The 16,389-nt window shown below is 40.8% G+C and overlaps 1 protein-coding gene across 11 annotated transcripts in view; it reads left to right on the top strand.

The window, feature by feature from the left end:
• The window catches only part of SEMA5A (semaphorin 5A), a 511,043-nt gene extending 495,896 nt beyond the window's left edge, over window positions 1-15,147 (top strand). For all 11 annotated transcript variants that reach the window (XM_011514158.3, NM_003966.3, XM_011514157.3 and 8 more), the window contains 2 exons: window positions 5,596-5,807; window positions 7,164-15,147. In XM_011514158.3, coding sequence (XP_011512460.1) covers window positions 5,596-5,807; window positions 7,164-7,283 — 332 coding nt within the window. In that variant the 3' untranslated portion in view covers window positions 7,284-15,147. The remainder of the gene's footprint in view (window positions 1-5,595; window positions 5,808-7,163) is intronic.

Genomic DNA, 16,389 nt, shown 5'->3' with positions numbered 1-16,389 from the left:
TGGGAACTTGATGGGAATGCAGATCCTCAGGCCCCACCTTGATCCACAGAATCAGGACCTCATGGGAAGGTCCCAGCAGTTGGTGGTTCAATTAGCCTTGCAGGTGATTCTTATGGGTTCTAAGCTTTATGAACCAGTGGTCTCGGTATTCACTATAGTTAATTTCATGAGTAAAGTAGAATTCAAACAATTTGTTTATATTTATAATACAAATCCATGGCAGCTAGCTTCCAATCTCCAACCCACTGAAATGACTAAATTGTAATGAGGCATAAGGTTATACCTATAGTGCTAGAGGAATTTTTCAAACCTCCTGCCACCCTGAATGTCAAAGACAACATTATCTGGTTCAAGTACATGATAAATTTGGACTTTACAGTCTGTGCCTTACATATACCCATAAAGTACTTGTCTGTGTTGTGAACATGCCTGGATGGAGAGGTTGGCTGTCCAGCCACCAAGGAACAGCCCATGTCCGCCTTTCAGAATCCGAGCCAATGTCTACATTGAGACCTTAACTTCCACATGTGTGACTGATGATGATAGATTCCCATTTGCTCCCCTAATCCGTTCCACAGGGTGTCTCAGAGAGCCCAGCCCAACAGGCATTGCCTCTGACATGTTCACATGGAACCTGAAGCTTCATAGGCATGTTTCAGGAATGTACTTATCATTCCTAACTACCATTATTAACTACCTTGATTAGGAGCTTACTGGCTGGGCATAGTGGCTCACGCCTGTAATCCCAGCACTTTGGGAGGCCGAGGCAGGCAGATCACGTGAGGTCAGGAGGAGTTCGAGATGAGCCTTTCCAACATGACGAAATGCCATCTGTACCAAAAAATGTAAAAATTAGCTGGCATGATGGCACACACCTGTAGTCCCAGCTAGTGGAGAGGCTGAGGCAGGAGACTCTCTTGAACCTGGGAGGTGGAGGTTGCAGTGAGCTGAGATCGTGCCACTGCATTCCAGCCTGGGCGACAGAATGAGACTCTGCATCAAAAATAAATAAATAAATAAATAAATAATAGAAGAGCTCACTATCTGTGACATTCTGTCTGCTCAGTCAGCAGTCTGTTAGTTCATTCATTCATTCAGTCATTCATTCAGTAATCCTTGCTGAACACCTGCTCTGTGTCAGTTTTGTGAAGGCCATTGAGCTTAGGATGGGCACCCACGCAGTCCCAGCCCCTCTGACAAGCAATCATATCATCAGAGACCCCAGTGCCTCAGAAGGGCAATGTTAGGTGTCTGAGCTAAGTCAGTGGAGTGAGTTCACTAACTAACAGTTGCTAACATGGGATCCAACTACAAGATGAATATGCAAACAGTTCACATAAAAATGATCATACCAATTAGTACCCTCTAATGTTTTTAGATCACTAATTGTGTGCTATACACTGTTTTACATGTTATAGACAAGAATATGGTGCAAAGCCCATTTGGTCCTCACAAGGAGCATTGATGTAGGCACCAAGGGTCTACAGTTCTTCATGTAACACCTCTGGAAATAGAGAAGGGTTTTGGAACTCAGCAGCTTTTAGATGTTTGTTAGAAGGGTATGTGGGGCCTTTACTCTATATTACGTGACACCTGCACAGGGCCTGGGGTTGTTCTACAACCAATCTCCTTAACAGTGCTGCTGTGAGATGTTGAAAAAAGTGAAGATGCTAAGGGTCTTCCTAGAAGTTCTGGTCAGGTCTACAGAAAATGGTTCAGGTCAGTGACATTTTAATGCCAGATGACTGATGAAGCATTACTTTTCAGAGATTTTGCACTTGGGAATTATAGAAAAGGAACAGTGCTTATGTATTTAATCTGCATTTTATAAATGGAGACCATGAGACTTAGAGGGATGATGTCACTGGCCCAAGTGCACACATGGAATTCAGCCAGTGGGATCCAGTGTGAGTTTTGAACCCAAAGCACCGTAGGAAACGAGCCCTGACAATAAAATTATCCAAAAGCATTGTGTTCGGGAGGCTCGAGCCACAGTAGCCCTGGTTAGGTAACACACTTGGACAACACCCAGGGTCCAGGACTGTCTGCTGCCTGGGTCCAGGACAGTGTAGGTCAAGAGTGGAGCAGAGTTTATAAGTGTTCCCATTCTCAGGGAGGCCATGCAGAGCCTGAGGCTCAAACAGCTGATGCCTCAGCAGAGCTGGCTAGGTATTTGTGCCTGCTGCCAGACGTGTGCAGTTCACTTTCCTCCTGCTGAGCCTCACAGTTACCCTGTGGAAGACCTTCAAGGGCCTTGAGAACCCAGGAGAACCTGGTGCAAAGCCCATCACCACCCTAAAATACTACTCCTGTGTGTCTGAACCAGCTGAGATGCTATTGGTTAAATCAGAGGAAGTTGAACTATTCTGAGATATTCAGAATGGAATTTTTTTTTTAGATCTTCAGGCTGCTGGCACTGGCACAATGGCATAGGCAGTTTAGATGAATCTTATTGTAGGGCTAATGGTTGAAAACAGTTACCTAGCAAGGATGTTTTTGACAACATAGGCATCTTCACTTGTTTATTTTTTCATTTTGTTGAAAATCAATCATTGTACAGGAAATTATTAGCCAATTGAACCAACAGGGTAGTTGGTCTGTATTCCATCTTTACTGATCAAAATCAACAGCAGAAAATCATATTCAAAGGAAAGAACTATAGTAAGCACATTCAGAACAAATTTAATGGGCACTGCTTTCCCCATGCAGAAAATCAGAAGAAATTTAATGGGCACTACTTTCCCCATGCAGAAAAATGTGCTTCAATTCAAATTTTTTGTCTTAGAGAGCTATTTTTAGTTGCATGAGACACAAAGACTATATAATCATCATAAAGATGTCAGCTGGCCCCAGCCTTTCCCAGGCACCTGCTGGAATGATTCATTTGACTAATGACACAGTATCTGCATATGGAGACTATCATGCATCTTCCCTATGTTATAATGAAACATGAGTTACCGGTGCAGCAGGAAGTATTTCCTTCAGAAGAAGGCATTGACCCTGAGAGTGCTAACAGCTCTGTCAGAGAGAGAAGAAGTAAGAACTTGTGTGAAATCAGCTCTTGCTTATCTAAGTATAGCGTCATTGTTACAGTTAAAGTCCCAGTGGCTGCTGGTGAAATGTCCCCTGGATACTTTATCTGTCTGTCCCAGGTTGGCAGTTCTCCAGCCCTAGAGGCTTCAAGACAGAGTCAAGAAAGGCCAAAGATGCTGAAACCATTGACCAACTAAGCTGGAAGTGAAAAGTTGAGGTGGTTGTGAGTGAGTGAGTGAGTGATCAGGACTGTGCTGGGAACTGCATTATCCACTGGCACTTCAGTGGTCAGGAATGTGTTGTGAGTTTTGCCTGACAGTGAGTCAGAGAGAAAGCAGCCTCCCTTCACAGTGTCCATGCACCCGAAGGGGCAGATCCAGCTCCAAAGTCCTGGGTTCCTGGAACACATTGTCTGGAGCAGCCAAGGAGCACAGCTTAGAGGGAAAAGTTCAGGGTTTAGGGACAAAGAGAGATATCCGACCTCTGCCATGTATCACAGGTGAGGCCTTGATGGCATCTCCTGACTGTAGGTTCAGCTTCCCTGGGGCCTATCAGCCACTGGAGGGTTGCATGAGGTTCAGGAAGGACTCAAACAGAGCCCCGTAGACCTAGGCCAGGTGGGCACTCACTGAACAGTGACCCTCCCTTTGACACCAAGTATTAGAGCCCCGTGGGTCCGCATTGGCAGGGTGGAATCCCTTCCAGGTAGGGAGGATCATGAGCACAGGGAAGACAGCTCAGAAAATCCCTGGGGAGGAGACAGACTGGGGTGGTTACGATGCACCCAGGCTCTTCTCATTATCTCCAGAGCCTGAAAGGCCTTGCTCTGCAGCCAGGTAGACTTGCCAGCATCACAGTGATGCTCAGCACATACCTCCAATCGTCTCACTGGGTGCAGGGTTGACAGGTCAGGGAAAGGTATTAGTGACACTGCCCCTCACCCTGGTGGTGTGTGGAGGAGACACTCTGGGGAAAGCTGGTGTCCTCAGGATGTGCTCTGAGCAGGTGGCACATGAGGCCAGTACCCCATGGGCAGCAGCCACTTGGTTCTAACAACACAGAGGAAGATAACAACACAGAGGAAGATAAGGCCCTGTTTTACTTTACCCAATTCTCCTGAAGCCCAGTGATGTGGCACTGACGAGATGCTGCCTTCATTTGTGGAAAAGCTTGAAACTTTAATAGTAGTATTTCACCAACATACACAAGGAATATCTGTTGTCTTTTGTTTGCTCCGACATAACACAGGTCTTGGTATGGTGCCTTGAAATCACTTGAGCCAATCCTATTTTAGAGATATAAGTCCATGCTGGCAAATTTTCTGAATGCTTTGTATTCATAACTGCAGGAAAATAATGAGACAGAAGAGATGCCATTAAATAGGAAAACATTAGGGGAAAAGAAGGTCATTTCATGACCATTTAAAATATCATATTTTGTTCATTTAACACAAATCCCTTATTTCTTTTTAGTAAACCATTTTCTTGACAAGACCTTCAAAATACAACATAAGTGAGAAAAGTGGTACGCAGGATAGTATTTACACCACACCAGCACACATGTGTGCTGAGTATCTCCGGAAGGGCACGGGAGAAAGTGCTTATAATAGTTACCTCTAGGTATAATAGTTACCTCTAGGAAAGGATTTATTTTTCCTGTAGACCCTTTTGTACTTTCTAATGTGTGCATATTCATACTCAAAAAATATAATGAAAAGTGTATGTGTTTATGTGAATAGAAAACATTTTAAATAGGATGAAATGGAGAGAGAGCTAAAAGCAGTCTGGCTTGCAGGCGAGCAGTAGATTAGAAAAGTAGCTGCTTCTCCCTTGTTTTCAGGACACAGCCCTGCTGCACAGGGAGGCTCAACCCATTGAGGTGCATGAATAAACTTTTCTGCAGAAACCCTGTACACCATGGATTAGGCTGCACTTGAAGCAGAACACTGTTGTGCAAACCTTTAAATAATAATAAAAACATGCTTCTGGTAGAGTATTAAAGTTTAAGGTCACTCCAAAAGACTATCATTCATAAGAGAATGAACTTAAAATATCCTGTGCTCTGCCAGGCACAGTGGCTCACACCTGTAATCCCAGCACTTTGAGAGGCTGAGGCTGGCAGATCATCTGAGGTTGGGAGTTTGAGACTAGCCTGACCAACATGGAGAAACCCCATCTCTACTAAAAAATACAAAATTAGCCAGGCATGGTGGCACATGTCTGTAATCCAAGCTACTCGGGAGGCTGAGGCAGGAGAATCGCTTGAACCCAGGAGGTAGAGGTTGTGTTGAGCTGAGATCATGCCATTGCACTCCAGCCTGGGCAACAAGAGTAAAACTCCATTTCAAATAATAATAATAATAATAATCCTGTGCTCCCTGTGTAGAAGTTTCTTGATGGCCATGACATTTCCAATGAAAGACTCTTAAGAATGATAATTTCCTTAATTTTGGAATGGGGATGAAGCTTTTCATTTTGACTTTCTCTTTTCATCCTAGTGCTTTGAGTAGCTAGGCAGGATGTTCTTTTCAAGTGTGGCATCACTTTGCTCATGTCTCCCTAGAGTTCAACATGTTCCACATGATCGCCGTGGGGCTGAGCAGCTCCATCCTCGGCTGCCTCCTCACCCTGCTCGTCTATACTTACTGCCAGCGGTACCAGCAGCAATCCCACGATGCGACTGTCATCCACCCCGTCTCACCTGCCCCCCTTAATACCAGCATAACCAACCACATCAACAAACTGGACAAGTACGACTCGGTGGAGGCCATCAAGGTAAGTGAATTTTAATATTTCTGCTAAGTGCCTGGTTTTCCTTAACACTTGTAGGGAGTATTTTGATGCCCTTTCTCTGCTGTGGTGGTTTCCTTTGAAACTGAATTTTCTCCCTATGTGAGAATAAGAAACATCTTTAGTCCTTACGACTTCAGGTGGCTGGGAGAACTTATGTCCCAGGAGCCACAATGTCCATACTTGTCTCTTAGCCATGTGGCCTCTATTCTCCACCACCTGTATGGAGACACACCAATTGACTTTTCCCCTTGGACCCTGCTTAAACCAAGATCCACAAGCCATGAGCATCTCCCCTCACTCAGATGGTAGATCTGGGGAATGAAGCACCAGGAATTAATAACACGCCCCTCCTGGCCTCTCAGAAACTAGCTCCTAGAGTAGGGAGGAAGCCCAAAGAGGAACACGAGCTCCTTCCATGAACAACAGCTTTCAAAACAAACATTTGGATCTCAAGAAAGGGGCTCCTCTGAGCATGATTCCAACACATCAGCTTGTCTCTGATCACTGTTACTATGGGCATCAGAAGGTAATTTACCCAGTCCTGTGTTCCCACTGAAGATTCAGCAGCCACTTTTAAGATAATCAGAAATGTTTCTCTCATGAAGATAAAGGACGTTGAAGGTACGGACAGCTGTCCAGTCTTTAACGAATCCTTCTAGAACATTTGTCTGATACTTTGCCCAGACTAACCCTGGACAGATGGCCATTGGGCACCCTCCTTCATCTTCATTTTAATCCTCTCAATATATATGTTCTACCTGGCTCAGTTGAAGCTCTTTGAAACTGCAGGTGACTTTAATGACTATTAATAGAAAATGGCTACAGTGATCACCTTCTAATAAGTTCAGGATGAAAAGCAATTAAGGCATTTGAAACCTGAGGCCCTTACTTAAATAAGTTCCATCAAGGTCTCCGATAAATGTCCTCACCCATGGTCATCTGAAAGCTGCTTATATATCTATTCAGTTATATGAATACGAATTTAGTTATATATATTCAGTTACAGTCAAAGTGTCTGTTAATTTGAAATCATTATAGTTTTAGGTTTTCTAGAGATTTAGATTTAGATTTTCTTACCTCCTGCTTCTCGTGGTAACTTCATAACTAAAGTTGAAAACTTAACCAGAAGATATCACAAACTGCCAACCTTATTCTGGTAATTAGGCAAGTCCTCCATGGGGCAAATAATCTGGGGAAGCAAATAAATAAGAAAACATATTTTAAAATATGGAGTCTTAGCAGAGAGCTCAAATTCAACATAATAGTCATCCTTGTTATATTATTTCTGAAATGCTACTCAGCATTCTTAAACCTGTTTTTTTTTAATATATTTTCCAGGCATTTAACAAAAACAACTTGATCCTAGAGGAAAGAAACAAATACTTCAACCCACATCTCACTGGGAAGACCTATTCTAATGCCTACTTTACAGATCTCAATAATTATGATGAGTACTAACAGCTTTCATGTTTTTGGCTTCTTGTAAATCCCCAGTTCCTCAAGGCCTGTGCCCCATGACTGCCCATGTTTCTGAGGCTTCAGAGTCGAAGTTTGGATACATTTCAAGTGCATTTCAAGCCACCAGAGTGTCCCATTGCTGCCAAAAATACACGTCTTTAAAAGCAACAAAAATTGAAATAAGACATCGTGAAAATCTTGACCATTGTTGAATGAGCCAGGGTGTGAAGTTTTTAATTGTGTTCATCCTATTTTTCTGACAAGTCCATTGGTTTGTTTTTTGAGCATTATTTTATAAATGTGCCACCCACATTGGAAGGAGTCTTTCTTTAGAACTTTGGAGTGTAAATCTTCATGATGTTGTAATTCAAGAAAATAGGCACTTTCTCTGAAAGACCTGCTCCTTCCACAAGAAGTGCATAGGTCCATAATATTTCATAAAATGAAGAAAAAGAATGTGGCCAAACAATTATTCACCATGGATTGCCCAACTTTCCAAATCTGGATAAAGCTGTGGGATTCTTGGAAGCAGCTTGAGTGTTTTCATCTTGCCTGGGAAGCCCAGGAATTCCACCTGGTCCACACCGGCAGAAGTTACAGTAGACTGTGAGGCACCCCACCTTGCTCCTGATGCAGTTTCTGTGCCATTGCTGGTGCTGGTGGAGGCAGCGGAGCAGAGGCTCAGGCACAATGAAGCGTGGATGTGTTCTGCAGGTTGCTGCAAAACTCACCTTATTCTGACTTTTGGATTTCATGGCATTCCAGGAAGCTCCTTGCCATGCTGTTGGCCTGGAAGTCCACCTGTCTGGTCCATAGTGACGTCCTGAAGAGCCAGTCTGTAAAATAACCAACCACTTACTTAGCGTTTGGATAGACTCCATGCCTTCTCTCTCCCTGCAAAGAAAAATCTTGAACATTTATGATGTCAATTAGTGAAAGTATTGAAAATACTAAATTATAACTAAAAGCAACTTTTTATGTTATTGAAAATATTGAAAGAACTGATATTAATGATAATCATTTTATTTTTCATCTCTCTGATATACCCAATGTGTGGCAATCAGCCCCTACCACGAGCATTAATACCATGTAAAGCTGGCTTTCTGGAGTCTGCCAGGTCCACACGAAGTGCTACCCCCAGTTTCTGCTGTTACTTGCTGCCTCCAGGCCAGGGGAGCAGGAGATGCTCAGCTCTGGTGCCTTTTCTTTTATTTCAGTGCTGCCTTCCCACCCACCCAGTCCATTCACCCTCACCTCTCCCTGCATGGAGGCAACAGCATTTCAAGATGTACCTTGGGAAGTCAGGATAGCTGGAAGTAAGGGTTTTTGGGATCCCTGTGGTCTCTTCACTGATCATCGATAAGCATTTAAGAGTGTGCTAACACCATTCACAGAGGTCCCTGGAAAAAAATATATAATTTTCTCACAAACAACCAATACATAACCTATGGCAGTTGGTTGAATAATTATTGAAAAAAAGAACACGACTGAAAAAGTTCATCTGATGCCTCTGAGCATGTGATAAAGTCCTGGGTAGACACGGAAACGTGTTCTTACAAATGAACCTTCGGATCTATGAAAGAAAATATAGTAGGGGGACTAAGGAACATAGAATTTTATTAGCATATGTGATTTTACCCTTATCTTTGTTTCTAATTTAAAGAAACAATTTCAGAAAGTGTTAGAAGAATTCTATGTTTAATAATGAATATTGTTGAGTTCAAAATATTCTCATATACCCAGATTTACAGAGATGACACAGTATTGAAATGGCAGGTGGGCTCTGTAAGTTATTTTGGATTAATGACATTCAGGGTCTTTGCAGTGGGGACTTCATGTTGCCTCTCACTCATTCCTCATATGTCAGAGTCTTCTGTCTATATGCACATGCTCAAAGTCCATACTCAGTAGGGGAAATCTAGCCGGATGGTTCTCCAATTGTTCCTCGGCTGGATTTTCATCATCAGATATTTCAACTCATCTCATCAGTTTCTTGTAAGAAAAAAACATTTTCACTTTGTAGCACATTTTAGTTATTTTTGAGTCTTCTTCCCTAATAGTTTGTAAGCTTAAAGGGACATTTTATTTTCCCTGGTAAAGAGGATTCTAATATTTCAAGAATGTTTCACTGGAATTGATGGGAAATGGTTTCTAAATGGCATCGAAGCTGGTCTTTAATGAGTCTTTTGCAATGACTTGGGAAAAACACCCTCCCTCACTACAGGATCTTCATGTTGTTAATAATATAAACAAACCTTTGAAATTAGCATTGCAAAAGAATCCCATTTTTGTTTCGTACCACACTGTTCAAAGGAAAATTGTTTATCTCTCTTCCTTTCTCTCTCTCTCTTATTTGACAGAATAGCAAGTGTTTAGATAATTTCAGATATATTCTAAGTATTTTACCAGCTGTGGAATAAGTTGTGTTTGTCCATCACTGTGTAGCTACCGTTCACATGTTCTGGCTCTGTACTCCACGCTTATCGCGTGAACCCTCACATGTTGGACTTTCACAGTGTGATCTCTCACCTGTCTTGGAAACTCCTTCATAAAGCCGCTCTTCCTTAGGCCTGGGCTGTTTGGAAGTCCTGGTGAAACTTTGCGGTTCACATTTTAAATTCCTGAATGACCTTTTCATTCTCTCTTTCTTTATCTTTGTTTTTGTCCTTCATTCCCTCCTTTTGTTCTTCCTTCCTGCCTTCTTTTCTTCTTTCCTTTCTTCTTTCTTTAATTCTTCCTTTCTTCCTATTTTCTTGGTACAAGTGGAACAAAAACCAACACATAGTTTTAAGCTACACCTTTCTGCACCTGATGTAAAATGACATTAATCACTATTTAACTTCTAAAATTATTTCTGAATACAGTTGGAGATAGGCTGGTTTTCATGAGGAAGCTGGCTTGGCTTTAGTCTTACATTTAAATTCTTTGAAAGTGGCTCCCAGTGCTATTCAGGGTCCTTTCTTGAGGCCAGACTCATCACCATCTACTATTGATTTTACAGTGCACTGACAGTTTACAGGAAGGAGAAGAACAGAATTTCTGCACACTACACAACATGTGGGCTTCCTGTAGCTCCAGGGACATGTAGCTTTGGTGAAACTGGGGTTTTGTAACCTCTGAATGATATGGACTTAGTGAATTCTAAGGAACTCAGGGGGCACGTGGTCAGGCTCCACCGCACAGAAGAGCCACAGTCTCCAGACTCATGGCGTTCCCTCCAGAACTCCCCATTCCCCTCTGAGCATATTTCTATGCTGCTGCTTCTTGTGACTTACATGAGGCATCTCAGCTTCTTCATGTTTGTAGGGATGGTTCCCTAAGCCTGTTCAAGTAGGCTCTCACTAGAGTTACCATTCATATTTGAGAAGAAAAGAACATTTAATAAATGTATGTGTGGGGCTGAGGTTCTAAAGGAATTGAAAAGAGACGATAAACATTGAATGAGGGTGAGGGCATCCCTGCTGGGGAGAAACCTCTGTCCCTAGGAAGAGTCCGTTCATGTCATGTGGTTTGGGATGAACCAGGGGTCTGGCCCCATCGGGTCACAGGTGATGGCAAATAGAAAAGAAGCAAATGGAGGAAATAGTCGGATAAGTAGGTGACGTGAAAGGCAGGACCTGGTCACCCCAGCAAGTGCTATGGACAGTTCCCGGAAACGGTTGCCCACTTCACAGGTCCATGGGTCTGACCCTTGGACTCTGCCAGGATCAACTGCCCAGAGTGCCAGAGTTTTAGCCAAAGGTGTACTTACTTCCTTATTTATCTGCAAAAGGATGGAAACTGTGGGAGTCAAAGCCTATTTTGCTGAGTGTTCCCACTGGAGTCTCTGGTAGAATTAGCAGGTCATGCTGTCAAAATCATGGACAAAGGCTGGGTGCAGTGGCTCATGCCTATAATCCCAGCACTTTGGGAGGCCAAGGTGGGCGGATCACCTGAGCTCAGGAGTTTGAGACCAGCCTGGGCAACATGGGGAAACTCCATCTCTACAAAATATACAAAATATTAGCCAGCCATCGTGGTGCGTGCCTGTGGTCCCAGTTTCTTGGGAGGCTGAGGCGGGAGTATCATTTGAGCCAGGAGGTTGAGGTTGCAGTGAGCTGAGATCACATCACTGCACTCCATCCTGGGTGACAGAGAGAGACCCTGTCTCAAAAAAAAAAAAAAAGAACAAAGTCTTAGCGGGGGGTCTCTATGTCCCCAAGTGGCTCTCTAAGGGGATCCATTAGCGTATAATTGAATATCAAAGGGAATTTTACCTTAAACATATATCAAGTCTATACTCAGCTAATCGTTTTGTCTAAACACAGCCTTGTTAGCATTTGAATTTACAAATATTCATTTGCTTATTTGCAGTGTTCCTTTTGCTTTTAGAATAAATCATAAATATTTCCCCAATACTGTCAAGATACTTCTTCAACTTTGTCCCTGAACCATCAGCTTTCTTTAGGGTCCGGGTATCCTTTACACTTCAATGGGGTTTTCTTGTGTGTGTCATTGGGGGTAACTCCATTGACCTCAGCATTTCTATCTCAAGAGATGGCTCTGGAACACAGAACCAGAGGCAACAGGTACTAATGGTTGATAAAATTAACAGCGACTGCATAACCATTTTCCACATGGCAGGGCTGTGCTTAAGCCCCACACCTCCAATAATCAATTTCTATGACGGTACTAATAACCTTAACTATATGCAAATTCTTCACCACTTATGATATGGTACAAACTGGAGTTTACAGATGGCCTTGGCCTTGCCTAGCCCATTTGTTCATCCTAACTTCTTCATCACTTCCTGATGCACTTGGGGAAGCATGTTGACACAACGTTACCAATATTTGATTACCTATGGTTATCTGCAATTACCTACGCTTATCTTATCAGACCCTAGATGCCATTTGAGCCCCTTACTTCTTTGGGCAGTGGGTGAAATGGGAGAACATAGAGAAATGTTCACTTTGACCTAAGAAACGCATAAAAGGGAATGCCATGCACAATGTAAGATAAAATGTTTGGGGACAGGGGATCATCGTGAAATTTATTTCTGCTATTCTGCCCTATTGAGGTCATTAATTATAATGGATTTAAAGATTTTTTTTTAAACTCTACAAACACTAAGCCAAGGAATTCAGGTTATCTGCTATGTTAACCTAATAAAGCAAAGGAAAATAAGTTGCTTTAATCCTTGCTTGTTAACCTAATAAAGCAAAGGAAAATATGTTGCTTTAATCCTTGCTTCTTTTCTCTTTTGGTAATAGAAAAGGTAAATAAGATGTAATGTTGAACTGCTGGTGATGATTTCTAAAACGACTCTTTAAATACTCCTTTCCTATGGACTTATATTAAAGATGCATTGTACACATTGTTTTAGCAGATAGATCAAAGATATACTCAGTGGTCATCTGTTGCATTATCAGAAATTTGATACATGTTACAGAAGCATGAGGAAGGGAATCCTATCCACTTTTGAAAATAGAGTTCACATTGCAAGCGACATAGGGCATTATCAAAACCAATTCAGAGCCTGGCACAAAATGTATACTTCCTAGTGAAAGCTGTCTCAAAACACAGCCTTTTTGATGGATCATATTAGCTCATATCTGCCATAGAAAGGCAATCAAGCTTACTCCCTGCAATCGGAGTCAATATCAATTCTTGCTCAAGCAAACATGTTTTACAGTGTTGGCGCAATGGCAGGAACTAGTCAAGGGCACTTTCAGATCTGGAAAGAGGAAAGAGGAGGTAGAAAATCACTCTTTTGTGTTTCTTAAACTGTCAATCAAGCAAGAAAATTTATTCCACCCCTTCATATTTGCTCTAAAATCTGGGGCCAGTAGTTGAAATGTGATCTTGTTCTTTCTCAGCCTTTTGGCAATTTAATGCCAAATATTCCAAATGTTAGATGAATGGCAGTAATAAAATGATTCAAATGTTTGATAAATACAAGCTGAGAGCAAAATCTGGACTCTGAAAAATCGGAACTATTTTATCATGTTGCTAAAATGAGAGCATCATTTTCTTCCCTCTCTGTAAGTGCGGTAGTTTAATTTCCTAGAAAAAGTTGCTAGTGCCTTGTTTAAGATGATCATTTATCATTTCATGTGGATATTATTGGTCTAATTAGAAGGAGAAGATTGATTGGATTTACTTTAAAGAAAATTATTCTCCTATGTCTCTTTGAACTCAGGAATAGAAAATGACCAAGAAGCACATCATCTTCAGATGTGATTTTTGCCCTCACTGGGGATGTAGAACCAGAATAGGTACAACATATGCTCAGAAGAGAGGTGACTTCAGTATTAGCCTTCTAGAAACTAACATCACTTTAATTTTTACATGTTCCAAAAAAAATCATAGTGATTGTTCTGTAATAAGAATGTTAACGTGATGCCTATAGAAGTTAGAGGTTTTTGTTTCTGTTTCTCTTCAGGCAAGTCCATAGATAGAGGAAAATCAGACACAGGCTGGTGACAACTGGTATAGATACAGTGAGCATGGAATGAGAACCACCTACAACATTGCCTGATTATTTTTAAGTTTATATCAAAACTGCTTCACAAGTTCACAAAAGTTGTCACTCTTAATTTGGGTTAAGAAAAGTAATAGTATTATCTCTGCTGAAGTTGATTGTTTTTCTCTTTTACCATGACTGTTGGCCAAAAGCAAGCTGAACCTCTGCACTTTGAAACAAAGCACAGTATGAATCTTTAACCCAAGCACTTAGTTTCACCACTGAGATTCTACATCATCTGCAAGAAAATGCACAAACTTTTGGTCCAATGTTGGATTCTTCAAAAGTGCATAGCAAAACTTTTGTGCTATGCCGCTTGATGTAACTTTTAAAGATGTTATCAAATGTTAAATGCCTCATTCTGCGTTAATTTGCTGTTGGCTGTTTTGTGAACACAAAATAAACTTGAGATTTTTTTTTTTTTTTTTTTTTGTGAAACTCCTCCAAAGCCAATTTCAGCCCTTGGTAAGCTTGCAGACAGTTACTGATCTTAAATTTAATTTTAAAAGACAATGTATCTTAATTATAATTTAGCTTTTTAAAACAATGAGATAGCTTTACATTTCCCCTTTGTTTGAATGAGAAAATGGATCTTGGGTTGCTATGCTAGAACACTTGTAGATTGCTGGGTCCTTTGTAAGGGGGCCATGGACACACCACACTTTCTTTCAATCCTTACATTTGAAGCATTGATATTCTTCAAAACCTTCTTGTTACATGTGCGCAATAGAAATTTCTAATGTTCATGACTTTTATCTTTCCTGTCCATCAATTCACTGGTTGTAAATGCTTCCTGAGAGCTGTCTAGGTCTGTATCCCAGATTGTTGCTTAATGACATCTGACAGATGCATTGTTTTCTGAAATCAGCTTAAGACACCAATTGTGGCAACTGGAAACTCATTACCTGCTGCATTGGATCAACTATGGAAGTTGGAGCAGGGGTGGGCGGAGGTCACCTAACCAATCAATGGAAGGCAACTCACACCTGCTCCAAGCCTCAGCTTTGAGAAACAAACACGTTTATAAGAAAAAATATATAGCTATTATTACAGAAGTGAATATGTTGTGCTCTCTTACTGCTCTTGGTGCATTGACAGTTTCTGTATCTCAACCCTATTCATCTTTATGAAAAAGCATTCTGAAGATCTATCCTCAGCACTGCTGAGTGTGCAGTCACACTTTCCTACCAACCCCCTTCTTACCATCTCTAGCTGCCATTTGTGGGGGGAACAAAACAAGGGAATCCTGATTGTGTACAGTATAAATTGTATTATATTTTTTGTACTTATGTTTTATGTAAATAGTTTGTCTCATTCAATTGTATGTGAGCATTGAAATAAATCCTACCATTTAGGGGACAATTTAGTGGCATTTTTCTTTGTATTGCCTCTGAGTGTGCGGTCTCCCCAGAGGTGCTAAGCAATGGCCACTGCTCAAAGGAATGAATTTCATCAGAGTGAAGTGCAGACCACTTCCTGCTGAGGAAAACTCATAACACTCCTGTTTATCTTCAGGCCTTTTGAATGGTGGCCAGGACATGACATAAGGATGTATTAAAGCACTTTTAGAAATATTTCCATGGGCAACAGGAAATATGTGATAAGGAAGGCCAATTAGGCTTTCTGTTTACAAAGAGTTGGTATCAGGTTGAGCTGATGAATGATGCATTGAGTTGTATTATACTTACCCTCTCTCCAACACACCCTATTCCATTCTTCTTTGCATAAAACAAGGTTTTTCTTGAATGAACTGCTGTCAGTCAGCATGAACACAAAGATAAGAAGCTTGACCCAGGAAGACCACCCTATTTAGTGAAAGCCATATTTCAATGTTCATGATCCCATTAAAGGAAAAAATATACATGCATATGTATGTATTTATATATGTCATATATACACATATATGTATACATAAAAGTATATGTGTATAATTATTTTATATATATTTTTCAGTTGACCAAAAAGCTGAAAAAGCCCACTTAATATGGGGCCAAAAATTAACATAATACAACTATATAAATATATGAACTAGTGAAGCATGTTATAAAGATTAAACTGTTTTAACCCCCAAATTACTTATTTTTTCATTAAGCAATGAAAAATTAAAATTTTAAAGCATTACATGAATAACCTATATTTGGCTATTAGTTTAGAAAGTGAATGGAATTTACAGTGTCATACCATAATTTTGTTTCTTGCCTTTTTGTTCCTGAACACTTGTAATCTTGGTAATATATATTCTGATATTTAGATGGTCTCACAAAATGCTTGTGTATCCAGGTCCTCCACATTTCATTCACTTGCTTTAAGAAACAGGTTGAAATATGATTTCAAATATCTTTCTGGACCTACTTGAAATATATGATGTAATTTTTCATTTAAAATATCTCCTCAAGCCCCATTTGGGAAAAACAGCATAAAGGATTGAATGTACTGACTGCACAATTATGGATATTTAGTCTAAAAGGAAATTTCCCTTAAAGTAATATGAAACTATTACTTTTCTGAAATTATTCTTGGTTTATTCTTTATAAAGTAGATATGATTTTCTTTATAAAGTCAAAGTGGTGTCAGAGATTGCTTTTGTCACATTATTCTGCT

Source organism: Homo sapiens, chromosome 5 (genome assembly GCF_000001405.40).
Source record: "Homo sapiens chromosome 5, GRCh38.p14 Primary Assembly".
In the NCBI taxonomy this organism is placed as follows: domain Eukaryota; kingdom Metazoa; phylum Chordata; class Mammalia; order Primates; family Hominidae; genus Homo; species Homo sapiens.
Note: the sequence above shows the minus strand (reverse complement) of the source record. Positions and strands in the feature narration are given on the sequence as shown.